The sequence below is a fragment of the Homo sapiens genome, chromosome 6 (genome assembly GCF_000001405.40).
Source record: "Homo sapiens chromosome 6, GRCh38.p14 Primary Assembly".
Lineage (NCBI taxonomy): Eukaryota > Metazoa > Chordata > Mammalia > Primates > Hominidae > Homo > Homo sapiens.
The window spans coordinates 149,137,978-149,157,093 of record NC_000006.12 but is presented as its reverse complement, the minus strand read 5'-3'; the positions used below and the strand labels follow the sequence as shown (position 1 = coordinate 149,157,093).

Sequence of the window (19,116 nt, the reverse complement as noted above, 5' to 3'; positions counted from 1 at the left end):
ATCCACCTTAAATGGAATTGCATTCCTATTATGCATATCGTTAAAAAATCTTACAAAGTTTTGAGACTAAAAAACAAAATTCCAAGCGGTCCTTATTCCATATTCATGGGCACTGCCTGGAATGGGCCTGATTGTTGTGATGAGTTTGAGTTTGTGGCCATTTTTGCTGGTCCTTATTCCATATTCATGGGCACTGCCTGGAATGGGCCTGATTGTTGTGATGAGTTTGAGTTTGTGGCCATTCTTGCTGGTCCTTCAAGGTAGCAGAAAGGATGGTGCTGGTATCTTAGCTGCTTGAGCCAATTATGTTTTTACTGGAATTGGAGTAACAAGCTTCTGTGCTGCCTATTAACTTCCTACATGCTGAGATGAGAATAGCTTGAAGCTGTGGAAAAATGCTGATATACTTAAAATAAAGAACCAAAATAGCCATATAAAGAAACCTCAGGGAATTTTAACCAAGAAATTACTGCCAAATAAATCTGCAGCCAGTCAAAATGCTGAATATTTTATTTTGAAAAGGAACTATATTTTTAGTCTCTGCCATGCTTGTCAACACTCCACTGTAATAATAAACTAAACCATTCATTAAAAAAAAAAAAGATGGAAGTGACCTTTTTCACAAACCCAATTAGCCACACCATGCATTAGTGGAGACAGAAATGCACAAGTGACTGTTGGCGATCATAAACACGAGGTCGGGGCATTTGTAGTTCATAACAAGGAATAAGAAGCATCTACTGTCCGATCGGAGTTCCACCAAAACTGTTGGCTTCTGTGGGCCCTTCCCACAACAACAAAAGATGAGCTGAAAAATAAAAGTCAACTCTGGTCATCATGGTAGTTCAGTAATCTTTTCTTCTCTCTTTTCTTCTTGAATGTTCATTTTATTGCATTCACTGTTGTGAGGTGAAAGGCTGAAGAAACTAATTATAAAAACAATATGCATCCATCTTAGATAATTTGGAAAATAAGCCAATAATAAAAAAGAAAATAAAAGTTACCCATCCCTCACCATTCAGAAATAATCGCAGTTAACATTTTGATATATTGCCTTCTTATCTTCTTTAAATGCATTATAGGTAAATAATTTAAAATACAATTAGGAGGATGCATATGATTTTGTTTTTTTCCCTTAGCATATTATACACATTTTCCTATGTGAGTAAATACTCTTCAAAAAGATAATTTTTAAAGGGTGCACAATAGCCAACCCCATGCATAGAACATAAATTCATCATTGGAATTCCTATTAATAGATATGCAACTTCTTTTCATTTATATTAATACATGTCTATAATGAATATCTCTTTATAATGTTTTATGTACTTGTATTAGTCTGTTTTCACACTGCTGATAAAGACATACCCGAGACTGGGTAATTTATAAAAGAAAGAGGTTTAATGGACTCACATTTCCACAAGGCTGGGGAGGCCTCACGATCACGGCCGAAGACGAAGGAAGAGCAAAGGGATGTCTTACATGGGAGAAGACAAGAGAGCATGTGCAGGGAAACTCCCCTTTATAGACCCATCAGATCTTGTGAGACTTATTTACTATCAGGAGAACAGCACAAGAAAGACCCACTCTCATGATTCAATTACGTCCCATGGGGTCCCACCCATGACACATGGGAATTATGAGAGCTACAATTAGAGATTTGGGTGGGGACATAGCCAAACCATATCAATACTGTTATGATTGTTTCCTTAGTATGCATTCTGAGAAGTGGAATTCCTAAGTCAAAGGATTCTGTGCATGTTTTAGCTAGTAAGTTTCTTGTTAAAAATAAATGATGCTTCTACTAATACATTGAAAATTATTATAATAATTACCCCCCTCCATCTACTTTTCTTTCAAAGATAAGCATTATCCCTTGAACCTCAGTATTATCAGTCCCATCTCTACTGGGTGCTGCCATATAAAACCAAACATGATATATAGGTTCACTGACATGGATAATTTGTCTCTCACCTCACTGTCTGCCAGAAGGAATATGGTGGAATTTGCTAAGGGATTCAAATGTATATCCAAGAAATGTGACAAATACTTTTGGGGTGCCTGAAAAGGTCAACCTCCATCCTTAGACAGGTGTCTGCATAAGCTTTCCTGAACAATGGGGCTGGGCATTTTATTTTTATAACAGGTAGATCAGGGATATCTGACTCTACCCAAAGCACTCAGATAGAAATCACAAAAGTTTGACTTAAGAGGCTACGAGACTGTATTCCATGAAGGTGACTTCTTCTAGAAGACTAAGCTGCAGCAGCCTTTTTGGGCCATGAGGACTGGTGATGAAGCAGAGAGAGCCAGAGGCAATCTGCAAAGGAAGCCAGAGGAGGGAGCAAAGGGACAGAGGGAAGCAGAGAGACATTGGGGTAGGATAGGGAAGGGAGAGAAAAATAGACAGAGCAAGGGTTTAGTTACCAAAGATTCGACTTCCTGTGTATATTCTTCAAGTTTCATGAAACACTCCTCTCATCTTGCAATAAGTTCTCTTTTACTCAAGCTGACTGAAATGTGAGCAAGTTATCCTGACTCAAACAATGGGACTGATGTTGATCAATCTTCCCACTGTGGCAATCTCAGGCACATGCTCTTTGTTATATGGCTAGGTGCTGGTCAGTATATATTTTTTAAAACAAGAATGTATAATTGCTGAATGTACCTTAATTTGAAAATGTTGTTTTTTTCCCTGTAGATAGGTCATATTGGTCAGACCACATGCTGACATGTGAATTTGTTCCCACCAAATGAGTCAGTTGAGATTTTAAAAAGCAAAAACAAAAAACCCAAACACCTCCCAATTGTTCTGGAGGATAAAAAAAAATGAGCTAGTTGGTCTTACTGGCTTGTACTAACAAAAAATAACCCCAAAAAATCTGGCTTCAGTATACTTAAAACAATAACATTAGCTCTTTCTGCTATCCCAGTGGGAACAGAGTTGTAATAAACTGCACATTGTCCAGATTGGTGTGATTTTAACCTGGTAGTGGGATAAAAAATATTTGCTACATGGTTTAAAGTTGAAATAGCAAGAACAAGTCTTTCTTATTCACATTTTCTTAAGAAGCTCTCTGTGCATAGAAGAGTGTGAGCCTGGGATGGGACAGGTGAGACATACTTTGAGGGATGTCAGCTCCTGCTCATTGCTACCTAGATAACGTATACACTAGAACTGAGACAAGACGCTGGGGAGGCTGGAGTGGCTTTTGCTTTTGCTTTTATTTTGGAATAGCAAAATATAGATGAGGAGAAGATGATGCAATTTTTGTAGGAGAAAAGAGTGAAGGGACAGGGTGAGGAAACAGCAGAAGTTGTTGTTTCTCTTTCCCCATCTTCTTCCAAAATTGAAATACTGAAGCATCTTAGGCACAGTTTTCTGTGAAAATGCACAGAGATGGTGTCTTAGTCTGTTTTGGGCTGCTGTAAAAGGACACCCAGAGGCTGGGTATTTTATAAAGAACAGAAATTTATTTCTTATAGTTCTGAAGGCTAAACATCCAGGATTGAGGGGCCGGCATCTGGTGAGGGCCTTCTTGCTGTGTCATCCCATGGCAGGAGCAGAAGGGCAAGAGAATGGGGACACATGGGAGAAAGGAAGCAAGAGAGGGCCAAATTTGCTTTTCTAATAAACCCACTCTCACAATAATGAAACTACTCGCATGATAGCAGCATTAATCCATTCATGAGGGCAGAGCTCTCATGACCTAATCACCTCTTAAAAGTCCCACCTCTCAGCTTGGTTGCATTGGGGATTAAGTTTCCAACACATGCACTTTGGGGGACACATTTAAACCACAGCAGATGGAGATGTGCATGTGGGAGGATCATGAGGAAGCACTCTTGGAAAGAGCATCTGTGAGGAAATAAATAAAGCAGGGTTGGGAAAGGCAGAAGTGAAGCTGCAATACAGCTACAACAGAGGTCTCAGCTGATCTCATGGTTTCTGGAGCTGGGCTGGCCCTTCGGAGTTAGCTCAAATTAAGGCAAGGGGAGTGGTCCTTATACTCTGCATTATCTACCAGTCATTGGATGTGGGCTGCTCCTGTGTCTTCAGCGGGGGGCATAACCTTGGGCAAAGCAGCTTCTTTCTACTCAGAACTTTTCCCGTGGAGGTTCAATTGTGAGCTGTTTGTAGCCAATGCTCCTGACAGCTAGAAGCAAATGCCTCATTCAGGGGGATCTGAGCAGTGCACCACAGTAGCCACTGGAGTCCACACCTCCCACCACTTGGGGCCACTTGCTTCATATAGTAAGTTTATCCCAACTGGGATAAGCTCCTCCAGGGTTCCTGGATAACTCTGCCAAAGATAGGTTATTAGGATAAACTATAGCCCCTGCTACTGCACCTGGTCCTGAGGCTTCAACTTATACACATTGTCTTTCCTATGACCCATTCTTGATTCCCTTCACCCTTGGCTAGCACCTGTCTTGGTCGAGGTGTCTTGTCTGGTGTGAGCAGACTTCATTCCTGAGAGGTCTGAGCCCCTGGCCACAATGCCCTGCTTAGGCTGTGGCTGCTGCATTTGCCCATTTACCATTAAAATTAGGCCTGGAAGTATAAACAGATGCTTCATTATATCACTTGGGTGCCCAATATATTCCTTCCTGCCCTATTGTATCACTTCAGTCACACCTGTGATGATCTGGGTCACTTTACCCAGATGATTTACAGCATCAAGGATGATGACCTTTTCCTTGTCTGCTGGTCTCTTGGCACAAGGCTCTTGAAGTAACTGGGTGGCAGCTACAGTTTAAGGTTTACTGAGACCCTTACTTTGTTCCCTGGTGGAAGCGTTGCCCTCTGGGGATCAGGATCTCTAGACCATAGAGCCAACTGTTGCAGGGATGGGCAATTTCAAGTCCCCATGCTGGAGTTGTGATAAACAGGGCTGCTCCTACTTCCACCCCTTGGTTCCTCCTGGACCTGGGTTATAGACTATATCAGGGGACACAGCTCAGTAATGTTTATTGATTTAGGATGTGTACAGCATTCTGGAGAAGAGTGCTCCATATTTGCAGAGTGTCACTTCTAAGCTAGTGCCTCAGCTGCACCTTCAAAAAGCTGTTCAATTTTTATCAGGCACAAATGTTCTAGGCGGGACTGTATGTGATAGAACCAGTGGATCCCGTGGTTAAGTGCCCACTGCTATACTTCCTTTGTTGCGTAGTAAGACCCTTGTCCAAGACGATGTTAAGCAAGATCCCATATCAATGGTCCAACACTCAGTAAGGCCTGTGATCATGGTGATGGCTGAGGCTTGGCAGGCAGGAGAGCAAACTTGTACTTGAAATACATATTTGCTCTCAGTCAATATGAACGACTGCTCATTCCTGGGTAGAAATGGTCCACTGAAGTCAAGTTATCACCAAGTAGCTGATCTCCTTGAGGGACGGTGCCAAACTGGGGTCTCAATGTTGGCTTTGTTCCTGTAAAGTTGGTTGCAGCAATAGCAGCACTATTGGGCCCAAATATAGCCTGCATTCCTGCCCCCATGGCCTCTGTCCATGAGCCCATTGTGCCAACACTTGGCATAGCTGGTGACAGAAGCTGGCTGTTGTCAACGGGTCAAATCATCCCATCTCCTTGGTTGTTTAGTGAGTCTTCTATGATGAATGTTCTGTGATGGACATTAACATGGGAAACAAAGTCCCTCCCACGTGGTTTCTGCTCCCCTATGTCCATCTGCAGCCTCTTCTCCAGACCCCCTTGCCTCTGACCTTCCAAACTTTCTTTTGACAGATCCAACCCACCAGTCACATGGTTTATCACTGTCCATGAAACCACCTATCATCTTGACTCAAGCTACTCTCTTACCACATCGTGGATGACTAAGTGTGCTGCCTAAAACTCTGCTCACTGGGAGATCCCTCCCCACTGCTGCTTTCAGTGCCATTTGTGAGAGGGGCTGTGACACAGAAGCCACCTGTCTTTAGCTTGTACTCACACACCAAGACAACCATCCATTGGTGAGCCCTGCTTAGCCTTTTTAAAAATTCCTTTAGCTTCTCAAAAGCGATCTCCCTCCCCCATGCAGCTGAATTGGTGAGCTCAGGGAGAGTGCATGTGTGGTACTGTTAGATGTCATGTGGGGTTGGGCCACCTCTTCATGCAGCTTCATTGAGTGCTCTGATCCAAATGTACCACTTCTGTCTTATGATGCATTGCTGTTGGGCATGCCACTGAGCTTCTCAGTGAGGCTTGCTCCCTTCTAACCAGCTCTGTCCTTGCTGCTCAGGTGAACAGGCTTTTTGGCTGCATGTGGAAGATCCATTCTGGCGTGCCCACCTCTACAAGCCTCTTCTCCCCTTCACTGTTTGCTGCAGCAGCTCTAGCATTTCTCCTACAATTTATTGCAAATATATTTTCCAAGAGGTTGAGAGCCTCCTAGCAGCATATCAGCATCATCTTCTGGGATCCTTGCAGGAGTGTTGAATTCTGAATTACAAGATGATGCTCCCATATCAATGAGCCCTCCCCCGCTTATCTGAGTTGATCTTGTCTTCCTTGACGCATCACCTTGGGATCCAGCCCCATGCATGTCCCCCAAACCCCAGCTCTAGCTAGCACTAGTCGGCTAGGTCTTGTGGCTTTTTTGAAGCATAGAGACCCTGTCCTGGCTTAATAAGCTCAGCACTTCCCATGCTGGCTCATGTGACTTGATCCTGTGTATTGGTGTGATGTCCAGGACAGATAGGGTAGATCCTGAGAGGCTCTCGTGCTCTCTTTAAGTTAGAGGATCCTGTAATGTCTTCAAGCAAGAGGTCAATGTCAGTCTTAGTAGAAGGCAGTAGACTACTTCTGCAATCCCAGAGCACCAAAAGGCTCTGGATTTTTAAAGTTCTTGAGCACATCAAGACAAATCTTCACATTGCAAGTCTTAGGGTCCCCCACGCACTCTCAATTTTTTGTAAATAGAATCATATGATTTTTGGCAATTCTGTATGCTCCTTTTTCCACTCAAAAATATTTCCAGGATATCTTTCTATGTCAACATACATTTACGTTAGGTTAAACTATATGAAAAGACGGATATTCAAATGTTTTGAACCTGCAAAAATGGCACTAGAGTTTAACCTAATGGAACTTGTTCTTCCTGCAGAATTCCCATTTCGGTAAATAGCTGTTCCATCTTTCTGGTTGCTTAGGCCAGAAACCTTGGAGTCATTTTTTTCCTCCTTATTTTTTTCTCAGACCTCTAAACCAATGTGTCAGCAAATTCCATCTACTCTACCTTCAAAATGTATCCAGATCTTACTCAAACTGTTTCACCTTCATGGCTACCATTCTGAATCATCATTTCTCACCTGGGTTATTCTAATAGCCTCCTAACTGGTAACCTTTCTACTGCCTTTATCTTCCTTCTAGCCATACTTTAAAACAATTTTTTAAAATATTTTGTAGAGACGGGGTCTCTCCATGATGACCAGGCTGGTCTCAAACTCCTAGCCTCAAGTGATTCTCCAACCTTGGCCTCCTAAAGTGCTGGTATTGCAGGCATGAGGCACCGTGCCCAACCCCTTATACCCAATCTTAACAAAGGAGCCAGAGGGATCCTGTAAAACATAAATAAGATCATGGCTCTTGTCTGCTCAAAATTGTCCAAAGATCTCCCATGTCACTTAGAATAAAAACTAAAGTCTATGACAAGCCCTGTGTAACTTGGCATCTCTGATCTTGTTGATCCTCTAGTTTACTTCTCTGCTGCTCACTTACTTCTCTTATTCAACCAGTCTCCTTTCTGTTCCTTGGGCACATCCGGCTTGCTCCTGCCTCAGCACCCTTGCATCTGCTCTTCCATAAGCCTAGAAGGCAGCTTACCCTAATATCCATGTGGCTCTCCCTTTTCTCCTTCACATTTTTACTCAAATGTCATCTTCCCTCATCTCCCTATTTTAAATGGCATCCTTCTTTGGCCTCCCTAATCCTCTTGCCTGCTTTATTTGTATCCATAGTGCTTCTTGACATCTAACATATATTTTCCTTACTTATTTTGTTTACTGTCTCTCTCCACTAGACTGTAAGGTCAAGGAGAGCAGAACATTTTGCCGGCTTTGTTTACCTCTGAAGAAACTAGAATAGTGCCTGACATACAGTTACCATTCAAAAAAAAAATGTTGAATGAACGAATGGATGAATGGATCATTCTTAATGACTTCATCATCTGTATAGATCTTAATTTACCCAGTTCACTCACTGGTGGACATTTGTTTCGATTCGTTTCCATCATGAAAAAAGCATCCTCAAATATCCTTGTGAAAACATTTTTGGGGACAATCTTCTAATTCTAATGGAACTGATGTTTCCCAAAAGAGAAAATGGAGTTTAATAACTGTAACAACACTAATAAACAGAATTTCATTGTTTTGACTTTATCTTAGGGCTACAAAGCTTGCAAAATACACATGAGAAAATAGATGTCAACTGAAGAACCACAAATACATTTCCTTCTCAAAACGTCGAGGTGAGGTTTGTGTGAACGCATGCCGAAGTACATGAAGGAAGTTGAGAGAAAAGTTCTTATCTTTCTCCTGTGTACAATCCATCCTCCCTCTTTGTTATTTACTGTCCTGGCAACAGCCGAGAAACTCTAATTTCACTTTGACTCCTCTTTAATCCCCATCACCACAATCCATCATAAGGTGTCATCTTCATGTGTGAATGCTGGTGCTTATCATCTCTTACATTTTTTTCTTCTCTATATTTCCCTTCCCAGTCCCTGCCTGCCCTATTTAGCTCTTGTCTTAGCTGAATCCCTGCAAAGCTAAAAGCTAAAAGAAAAGCTGAAAGAATCATTTCCCCAAACTATTTCCCCAAATTCCGTACCCAAAGGGATTCTAATCTGGAAACCTTCTTGCAGAATGAACCCATGTCATCCGGGGTCTGGAGCACATTGGGGCAGTCTCTGAAAAATGCTTAAATTAAATTAGGACTGGGTGCAGTGACTCATTCCTGTAATCCCAGCTACTCAGAGGTCTTGAGCCCAGGAGGTCGAGGCTGCAGTAAGCTATGATCACACCACCGCACTCCAGTCTGGGCAAGAGAATGAGATCCTGTCTCTGAAAAATAAAAATGTTGCCTCAACTGCATAAGTGATTTTGTTTATGAAAACATGTGAGACATTTGTGGGGGACCCCAGGAAATATTTGGATGGAATTTAGAGGTGCCCAAGGTCTTGCACGAGCAGGTAGGGGTAATAAGTCATTACATTTTGGATTATTGCTGTTACTGTAACAGCATCTGCATATCCTCAGTGAGGTCTGCATTGGACAGAGACAAATGCAGTGACATTTTAGAAATCTTAAGCTAGCAACCAGCACTGAAATGTTTTTTATTTGTCAATCCCTGCATGTCAGAAACAATTGGAAACTCCTTAACCTATAGTTTCAAGATGTTTGTAAATTCTTTTTTCTTTATTTTAGATACTTTATAGTCTAAGAATAATTTTTATCTCCAGCTCATCCTCTAGCCAAGTGTCTAATGCCTTTGTGAATTTATAATTCAAAATTAATTCCCCCCCGAGTTAGCCTTGTATAAACAAATGATTATAGAAATGATAAAACAAATGTCAAAGTAAAATATTAAAGGGTACAGAATTTCACGAATGAAAAGACATAAAAGTGTTGCAATCTGGGTGGGGCAGGGAATTGGAGAGGAGTGTGGGTATGCAGAAAAACGTTATGAAAGTATTTCAGTAAGTGATTGGATAAGAAGACAGAGTCTAAGTTAAATCAGGGCTCAACTTGTTGGCTTGTGGCTTGGGCAGTATCATCTGGTCAGCAGTGGCCAGTCCAATGTCAAAATCTTTAAGTGGACATGTCCCAGTTCCTGTGGCCAGCCAGAGGTGCTAATGCTGGCCTTCACTGGGCAAGTGTGTAAATCCAGAACAAAAATTCTAATGTAATATTGCTATTGTTATGTAGGGTATGTATTTGTAGGGATTGTATGAATGTAGTAAGTTTTGTCATTACTATACCACTTTAAATATGCTTTATCTGATTTTAAGATATGTGAGATTAAAGTAATTGACTTTATTAATGGAACAGAACAGAGGCCTCAAAAATAACACCACACGTCTACCACCATCTGATCTTTGACAAACCTGACACACACAAACAATGGGGAAAAGATTCCCTATTTAATAAATGGTGTTGGGAAAACTGGCTAGCCACATGCAGAAAACTGAAACTGGACCCCTTCCTTACACCTTATAGAAAAATCAACTCAAGATGGATCAAATACTTAAACATAAGACCTAGAAAACCTAGAAGAAAATCTAGAAGAAAACCTGGGCATAAAATCCTAGAAGAAAACCTGGGCATAAAATCCTAGAAGAAAACCTGGGCAATACCATTCAGGACATAGGTGTGGGCAAAGATTTCATGTCTAAAACACCAAAAGCAATGGCATTAAAAGCCAAAATTGACAAATGGGATCTAATTAAACTAAAGAGCTGCACAGCAAAAGAAACTACCATCAGAGTGAACAGGCAACCTACAGAATGGGAGAAATTTTTTGCAATCCTTCCATCTGACAAAGGGCTAATATCCAGAATCTACAAAGAACTTAAACAAATTTACAAGAAAAAAGCAAACAACCCCATCAAACAATGGGCAAAGGATATGAACAGACAGGCTTCTCAAAAGAAGATATTTATTCAGCCAACAGATATATGAAAAAACGCTCCTCATCGCTGGTCATTAGGGAAATGCAAATCAAAACCACAATGAGATACCATCTCACGCCAGTTAGAATGGTGATCATTAAAAAGTCAGGTGCTGGAGAGATTGTGGAAAAATAGGAATGCTTTTACACTATTGGTGGGAGTGTAAATTAGCTCAACCATTGTGGAAGACAGTGTGGCCTTTCCTCAAGGATCTAGAACTAGAAATACCATTTGACCCAGCAGTCCTATTACTGGGCATATACCCAAAGGATTATAAACCATTCTACAATAAAGACACATGCACATGTATGTTTATTGTGGCACTATTCACAATAGCAAAGACTTGAAACCAACCAAAATGTCCATCAATGACAGACTGGATTAAGAAAATGTGGCACATATACACCATGGAATACTATGCATCCATAAAAAAGGATGAGTTGGTGTCCTTTGCAGGAACATGGATGAAGCTGGAAACCATCATTCTCAGCAAACTATCACAAGATCAGAAAACCAAACACTGCATGTTCTCACTCATAAGTGGGAGTTGAACAATGAGAACACATGGACACAGGAAGGGGAACATCAAACACTGGGGCCTGTAGGGGGTGGGGGGCTAGGGAAGGGATAACATTAGGAGAAATACCTAATGTAGGTGATGGGTTGATGGGTACAGCAAACCACCACGGCACGTGTATACCTATGTAACAAAATTGCATGTTCTGCACATGTAGCCCAGAACTTAAAGTATTAATGATAAAAAAAAAGAGAAAACACATACACACACACACACCTACAAGTTATTGGCTTTATTATATTTTAAAGTTTATTAGAGTTATCATATAGATTGAATGCTAGGAAAGAATGTTCTTATTAAATTTATTAAATCTGCATGATAGGCATTTGAGCAATTCAGATGTGTTAAATACCTAATTGTAGTTCGAAGTGTCTAAGAAAATTTTGTTATTTAAGATAGGACATTTTAGTTTTTTAACTTATGAACTAATTTAAACATTTATCAAGGAGTGTGAAAATAGCTCTTCTGATTTTTGGACAATTGCTATATTTCTAAATAAAAAAGAAAGAAGATTTGCAAACTGAATTTAAATGTTCAGAAAAATGGAGATTCTTAATTTATAGCTTTAATAATTTGAATACTAATGTTAAATCCTGCTACAGTCAATGATTGGGCAAGCAGACAGAATCTTTCTTTCTGGACATACAAACTCTGATTTTTAGGAACTCCAATGATAATTCCCATTGTGATCTCAGAGACACAGAGTAACTTAGTCCACATAGACCGAGCTCCACATTGGGGAAACGTGCCATGGGGGACGGGTTGTGCACGTGCAGTTCCCATGTGGGTCATGCTGTTCATAGACGCTGACTGGAATGTCTAACTCACTCCTCATTTTTCAAAGTTTCATCTTTTCATAACTGCTTGAATTCTTCAAGGTCTTTCTTCTCCCCAACAACATTATTTAGACTCATTTATATTGCCATATGTAGTCATTTAATATTCATTCCATTCTATGAATGTACCACTGTTATTTATTCATTTTACTATTGATGGAAATTTCAGGTTGTTTTCAGCTTTTTATTTATTATAAGCAATTTCTGCTATAAATAATCTTATACTCATCACCTGTTTGCACATGCAAGGCTTTTGCTAGTATCCGTAAATGTCTAGGATTGGAATTGAAGGGTGAATTAAAATAGGTGATGCCGAAGATTGTACTGATTTCTGCTGTACATCAGCATAGGAGACATCCTGTTGCTTTATGTCTTTATGAATACTTGATAGTGCCAAGATTTTTAATATTTGCCAGTCATGTGGGACTAAAATTTTATACCAATGGGGTTTTAATTTGTATTTCTCTGATTACAAATGAGCTGAACATCTTTTAATGTTTTTAATATTTGGTTTCCTTCCTTTGTGAAATATTCATTTTGGCCCATTTTTTCATTGGGTTATTTATTATTTTTAATAGACCTTGACACACAGGAAGAGATACGTATTGTATGTGTTATTAATTCATAGGAGTTCTTTATATATTCATGATCCTGATCCTTTGTCAGTTTGATGTGTGGCAAATATCTCCTTCCAGTTGATGGTATGTATTTTTTCTCTCTTTTAATGGCTATTTTTGATGAACATAAATTCTTTTAATGTAATTTATTTTGTCAATATTTTCCTTTATAATTTCTATCCTTTGAACTGTGTTCAAGAGTGGCCTAAGTACCCTGAGGTGATAAAGATATTCTCCTATATTTTCTTCTAAAGATTTTTTGTAAAAACACCCTTTTATTTTGAAACACCTTCAAGCTAATAGATATGTTGAAAAGATAAAAATAGTACAAAGGACCTCAGTATACCCTATTCCCAGATGCACATATTATTTACATTTTACTCCCATTTTCTTTTGCATTCTCTCTCTCAACTTTTGAAAATCTCTTTCTTGAAACCTTTAATGGTAAAGTAAGTAAATCATGGCCCTTTACCCAAAATGCTTCTAATATATTTTTTTAGGAATAGGGATATGTTTCTAAAAGTTTAAAAAATTTGCTTCCCCCATTTAAATTCTTGGTCCATCAATAATTCATTTTTGAGTAAGTTATGAGGCAGAGAGACAATATAAATTTTTATGGAGATATCTAAGAGTCCCACACTCTCTGAAAATAATCCAACATTTCCTCTGTAATGTTACTTGCAACAAATATCAAGATTTCACATGTGCATGGATCTGAGTCTGGGCTCTTCAGTTTGTCCCTTTGGTCTGTTTGTCTGTCCTATTAAGACAGACTACATTATCTTAATTACTATAGCATTGTAGGAAGTCTTGATATCTGGCTGGGGAAATCTCTCTACATACTTTGTCTTCTTTAAGGGTGTTTTAATGACCATAAGATCTTTACTCTTTTATATAAATTTTAGAATTAGTTTATCAATTGCCAGGAAAAGTCACTTGGGGATTTTGATGAGAAATTCATGAAATCCATTGTTAAATTAAATAAGCAGGAGGCCAGTAAACTGAGGTTGTCTTTGTACCTTGATTTCCTATGCAACAAACTGCAGCCTAACTTAGCGTGTACTAAACTCAACACTTTTTTCTAACAAATGGCTGGGTTTCAGCCAATCACAGGTAGCCAACTGATTACATCATGAGAAAATAAGCCAAATGCCAGCTGTAGCGATTCAGATGCTTTCTCTACCTGGCTTCCATATTCAGTCTATTTCCATAGCTCACTGCTCATGCTTCTGGGTAGAGCTCTCTGAACCTCTTCTGGTTCTGAGTGCTGCCTGATTCATGAAATGTTCTTTGCTCAAATAAATTCTGCTAAACTTAATTTGTCTGAAGTTTTTCTGTTAATACTATAAATCAATTTTCTAGGAACTGACATCTTTGCAAAATTGAGCCTTCTGATCTATGAAGTTAGTATGTTCCTCCATTTAGTTATTTAAAAAATCTCTGCAATAAATGTTTGTAGAATATTTTTGCAGAAAAATATTGCACATCTTTTTCATATTTATGCATCAGTATTGTATATATTTCTTGATATTATAAATGGTATTTTTAAAAAATGTAAAATTCTAAATGTTTGTTATCAGTATATAGAATACAAATTGGTATTATAGCTAGTAAGCTGGCTAGAAGCTCTAATGTTAATAATATATCTGTAAATTTTTTAGGTGGTCTATGCATACAATTATATGATTTGCATATAGTAACAATTTTGTTTCTTTTTTCCCGATATTTATATCTTTCATTTGTTTCTTATTTATCTAGGATGACTAGGACTCTTAAAATAATATTGAATAGAAGTGAGAGTAAATGTTCTTGAATTGCTCCTAATTTCAAAGGGAATAATTTTTAGTATTTCAACATTGGGTGTTTACTGTCATTTTTTTGTGAAGGTCTTTGATCAAACTAGAAAGTTTTCTTCTATTCTTAGTCTATTGCATATTGAATGTCATTGAATGCTTTTCCTGAATCTCTATGATGATTAATTGGCCCTCTTTAATCTGTTAGATCCGTTATATTAATAGATTTTTCTGAGTTTGAACTAACCCTGCATTCCTAGAATAAACCTAACTTGATTGTGATATAATACATATTATGTAGGATTATATTATATAGAATTCAGTCTGTCAATATTTTGTTGAGAGTTTTGCTTCTATTTTTAATGCATTAGTTTTTTTTCCTGATTTTACAAATTTTGTAAAATAAGTTGAGATAATGTTTTCTCTTTTTCTGCTTGCTGGAAGAATTTGGTAAGATTGAAAGTATCTATTCCTAAATTTAGTGAGAACTCACCTGTAGAACCATTTAGGCTTAGAGTTTCTTGTGGGAAGATTTTTAATTACTGACTTAATTTTGTTAACAGTTATCAAGCCAGTCAGATTTTCTATTATTGCCTGAGTCATTTTTGGTAATTTATATTTTTCTGAGAAGTTGGCTGCTTCATATAATTTTTCAAATTATTTTTATAAACTTATAATATTCTTCTTTTATCTTTATAATTACTGCTACATCTGTGGTTTGGTCCTCTTTTTATCTCAGTCTTAATATTTTTTATTTATAACTTCTCTGTCTTTTCTTGATCAGTTTTGCTGGAAGTTTATCCATTTATTAGTGTTTTTAAAGATATAACTCTTAGCATCTTGATCCTCTTTATAGCTTTTATGTTTCCTATTTTATTAACTTCTTCTCTTGCCTTTATTATTTCTTTTTCCTACTATCTTTGGGTCTATATTGTTTTTCAAAGTTGACTTCTTAAATTGAATGTTTAGTGCAGTCATCTTTAATTTTTATTTCTTAAATATAATCAACATAATGATTATAGAAATTTATAAAATAAGTTGCCTTATCTGTATTGCTTTTTTTTCCCTCTACTAGTTTGGAAGTTATGCAGTTTATTTCTAGTCTTTTAGTGTATCCCTAGAATTTTTTCATGTATATTTAATCAATGTGTCTAATGTTAGTGAATATTTTATTCTCTTGAATAATCTAAATATATCCATATGCTTTTCCTTCAATTACCTCTCAATCAATTTACATGCTATTATTGTCAGCAGGTAAGAACTATATTTAACTCAGTCTGGTTTTTATTTTCTCATCTCCATAAATTAGACATTGTTATCTCTAAGTTACTCCATGATTAAAAAAAAGTCATCACCATTTTGGGTTCCAAGGTAATTATTGCAAGTCCTAATTATTGCAAGACTTATACTGGCCTTCATTGTCCTAAGGAGTGCAGACTTTTAGTCTAGGCCTGATTTGGAGGATACCAAAACTATTTTAAAAATCAAGTCTGTGAAACTATTGCTGTTTCTGAGAACTGTTTACCTCAGACAAATTTCCCCTTGATTGAGATGATCAAACAACGGCTACTCTCTCACCCTTTCCTGTTTTCATACTCTGACACATACTGTGTTTTCTTTCTAATGAAACAAGTCTGGGGAATTTTCTAGTACCCCTAAAAACCTGCTTTTAAAAATAAAGTTCATGAAATATTTCCCCTCTTACTGGGATTCCACTGATTTCCACTGGTTCCCTTTCCTTTCCTTGCACCTGAAGCCTTGGGTCTTTACTGGCAAATAAAGTATTTGGGTAAGGCATGAGATATTTAATATGTGAAAACAAAAAGCCTCAGTAAATAGTGGAGATGTGGGCTTTACTTGTCAGAGTGCATTCCATGTGTTTCCTGAGTAAACGTTTCAGAAAAACCCTTAAAGACAACAGACTCTAATCAGGCCAGCACAGCACACACACACAAAAAGTCCAAGTGAAAGCGTAAGATAAGAGAGAATTATGACTATTCTCTCTAAAAAGGAAAGCTCTATTTCTGAAAGTGTAGAGTCAAAACAGTTGAATTCTTCATCCTTACAGTCCTGCTGGGAGTGAAGAACTACCAGATTTCTGACCCGAACAAGAGCAACGACCTGCCTCCAAGCTGTCGGACTCTAAAACTCATGCCCTGATGCAAATGACCCTCTCAATGGATCCCTGGTACACACGTTGGGTTCCTTGATTTTGGTCTCACTCAAAGTTTATTGTGTGTCAAATTTATAAAAAGGGAAAAGCCCGTCTGTGACCAGATGAAGAGACAATGCAAATCTTACCTGGCTATGACGGTGCTGGATCACAGCAGGCCTGCAGGCCCTCAGGGAGGCAACGTAGCTTCCCTGCAGACGTCCTGCGGGTGCTGGGGTGAGAAGACAACAGGCCTTTGGAAGACGTGGCTGCAAAGTCAAGCCACAAAGTGACAATGATGACCTCTGACTGAGAATTAGAAGACTGAAGGGAGAATGTTAAAATGTGGTCAAGATTTTGATTGCAAAATCTACACTCAAAATGATCTTTTAGGTTGTTTTTTTTTTAAATCCATAAAATGGGTTTATCTGAGATAAAGAGACATCTCTTTGTTCAGTATGGGGAAATTTCTTCCATAAATATGCAGTAATAGAGGATGTTTTTCCCTTTGAAGTTTACTGCTTATAGTATTTCTAGATCTCAACTTGTGAACATTACCAATATTGCAACATTTTGCTTCATCACTGAGTGTTTTAAGTTTTACCTCTCATTTCTTGAATGGTTGTAGAGACTGTCAAATGGAAGTCTGGGGCATATCTTTTCTAAACTTGCTTAGAATCCTTCTAGAGCTTATCTTTTTCTTAAGATTGAGGGCTGTCATAGATGAATTTAAATTTCTTTCTATGTTTCCAATAGAAAATTCATGTTTAATTTCTAAATGAATATAAGGTATTCTTTTTGAGAGTAGTTTCATTTTTTTAATCATAATCACTTAAAAATATCTAAGTGTTTTGTGAGGATAGAAACTTTATAATTTTATATTTGTATTTATTTATTTAGACGTTGTCTCGCTCTGTCACCCAGGCTGGAGTACAATGGCACAATCTTGGCTCACTGCAACCTCCACCTCCCGGGTTCAAACAATTCTCCTGCCTCAGCGTCCCAAGTAGCTGGGATTACAGGCATGTACCACCATGCCCAGCTAATTTTTGTATTTTTAGTAGAGATGAGGTTTCGCCATGTTGGCTAGGCTGGTCTCGAACTCTTGACCTCAGGTGATATGTCCACCTCAGCCTCCCAAAGTGCTGGGATTACAGACATGAGCCTGTAATCATGTATTTAGACATATGTTCATGTGTGTGCTTTATTTTAAATTATATTAATATTTTTCCAGTGTCCCCAGTGTGCCAGGTACTACTGTGTCTTACATATAGTAATTTATTTGATCCTCATGAAAGCCCTATGAATATGTACTGTCATTATTTCCATTTCGTATGTGAAGAAGCCTGGGCACAGAGAGGTTAAGTGACTTCCCCCAGTCACACAGCTCATGACGCCGGACCTATAGCGCTGCTGACTCTCGTGATGCTCTGCTGTAATATAATAACTCTCTGGCCAGATGCGCTGAGCATTTAACCTGTTTCCCAGGTTCATCCACATGTGGAAGCTGCATTAACTTCTAGAACCACCAGGACGTTATACTAAGCCAGACACCAAAGGACAAATGCTGTCTGATTCTACTGGCGTGGCGTCCCTAGAATAGGCAAATTCATGGAGACAGAAAGTAGAATGATGGCTGCCGGGGGCTGGAGCAGGAGGCGTGGGAGTTGTTTAATGGGTATAGGGTTTCATTTTGTTGGGGAAAGGAGTTCTGGAGATAGATGGCGGGCTGGTTGTACCACATGTAAATGTACTTACTGCTACTGAACGGTGCACTTACAATGGTTAAAAATGCTATTTTTTTTTTACCGTAGTTTAAAGCACCCCACTAAAATTATCTTCAATAGGCCAATGATTCAGGGAACACAGAGCATCTCCTGTTACTGGGAGCTGCTGGGTAATGGAAAAGTTGTGTTCAGCTACTTTGAACCCTTCAGAAGCAAGGGAGACTTCAAACTGGGGATTGACCTGAGAGATAGCTATAACTTGGAAAACTGTGCGTGGCTTTGATTCTCTCATATGCATTTCACCTTTTGGTTTCTGCTGTGAATTGGTGGAAAAGAGAGGCTAGAGCTGCGTCTGGTGGGAGGGCTGGAGACCGTGGCTACGGCGCACCTCTCCTACTGCACTGGGAGTAGGGGAATTGGCTTGCCTGCTGGCGGGCCTCCCCGGGCTTGGCTCTGTGAGCCTCTCTCGCAGGTCTGGGCTTCAGTTCTTGGACATTTTTGCCCCTGAGTGACCGTGTCTGGCTGCTGTGGTCTCTGTGTGTCCCACCCTGCTGCCTCCCTGCAGTGCTCCAGGACTGGGCCTCCACCACAATAATAATCACCACCGTTTTATCAGGCACCAGGGCACACACAGTCAGGTGTAATCTTCACAGCAGCCCCTTCAGGTCAGTGCCAGTACCCCCAATTATCAGAGGAAGACCCTTCCTTCAATCCCCACTGATGAAATTAGGACCCCCAAATACA

At 39.0% G+C, this 19,116-nt stretch overlaps 1 long non-coding RNA gene across 1 annotated transcript, besides 1 other annotated feature; it reads right to left on the bottom strand.

The window, feature by feature from the left end:
- Positions 1–487: 487 nt before the first annotated feature.
- Positions 488–16,945, bottom strand: LOC124901426 (uncharacterized). Its single transcript, XR_007059807.1, has 2 exons — positions 16,795–16,945; positions 488–808 (listed from the first exon to the last, which is right to left on the bottom strand). It is a non-coding gene; the product is annotated as an uncharacterized LOC124901426 (long non-coding RNA).
- Positions 16,369–16,598: an enhancer, noted in NCBI's record as "active region_25247". NCBI's record gives its function as "activates an Ori minimal core promoter by ATAC-STARR-seq in GM12878 lymphoblastoid cells {active_cell/tissue: GM12878}" and the evidence as "EXISTENCE:reporter gene assay evidence [ECO:0000049][PMID:35858748]".
- Positions 16,946–19,116: the final 2,171 nt, after the last annotated feature.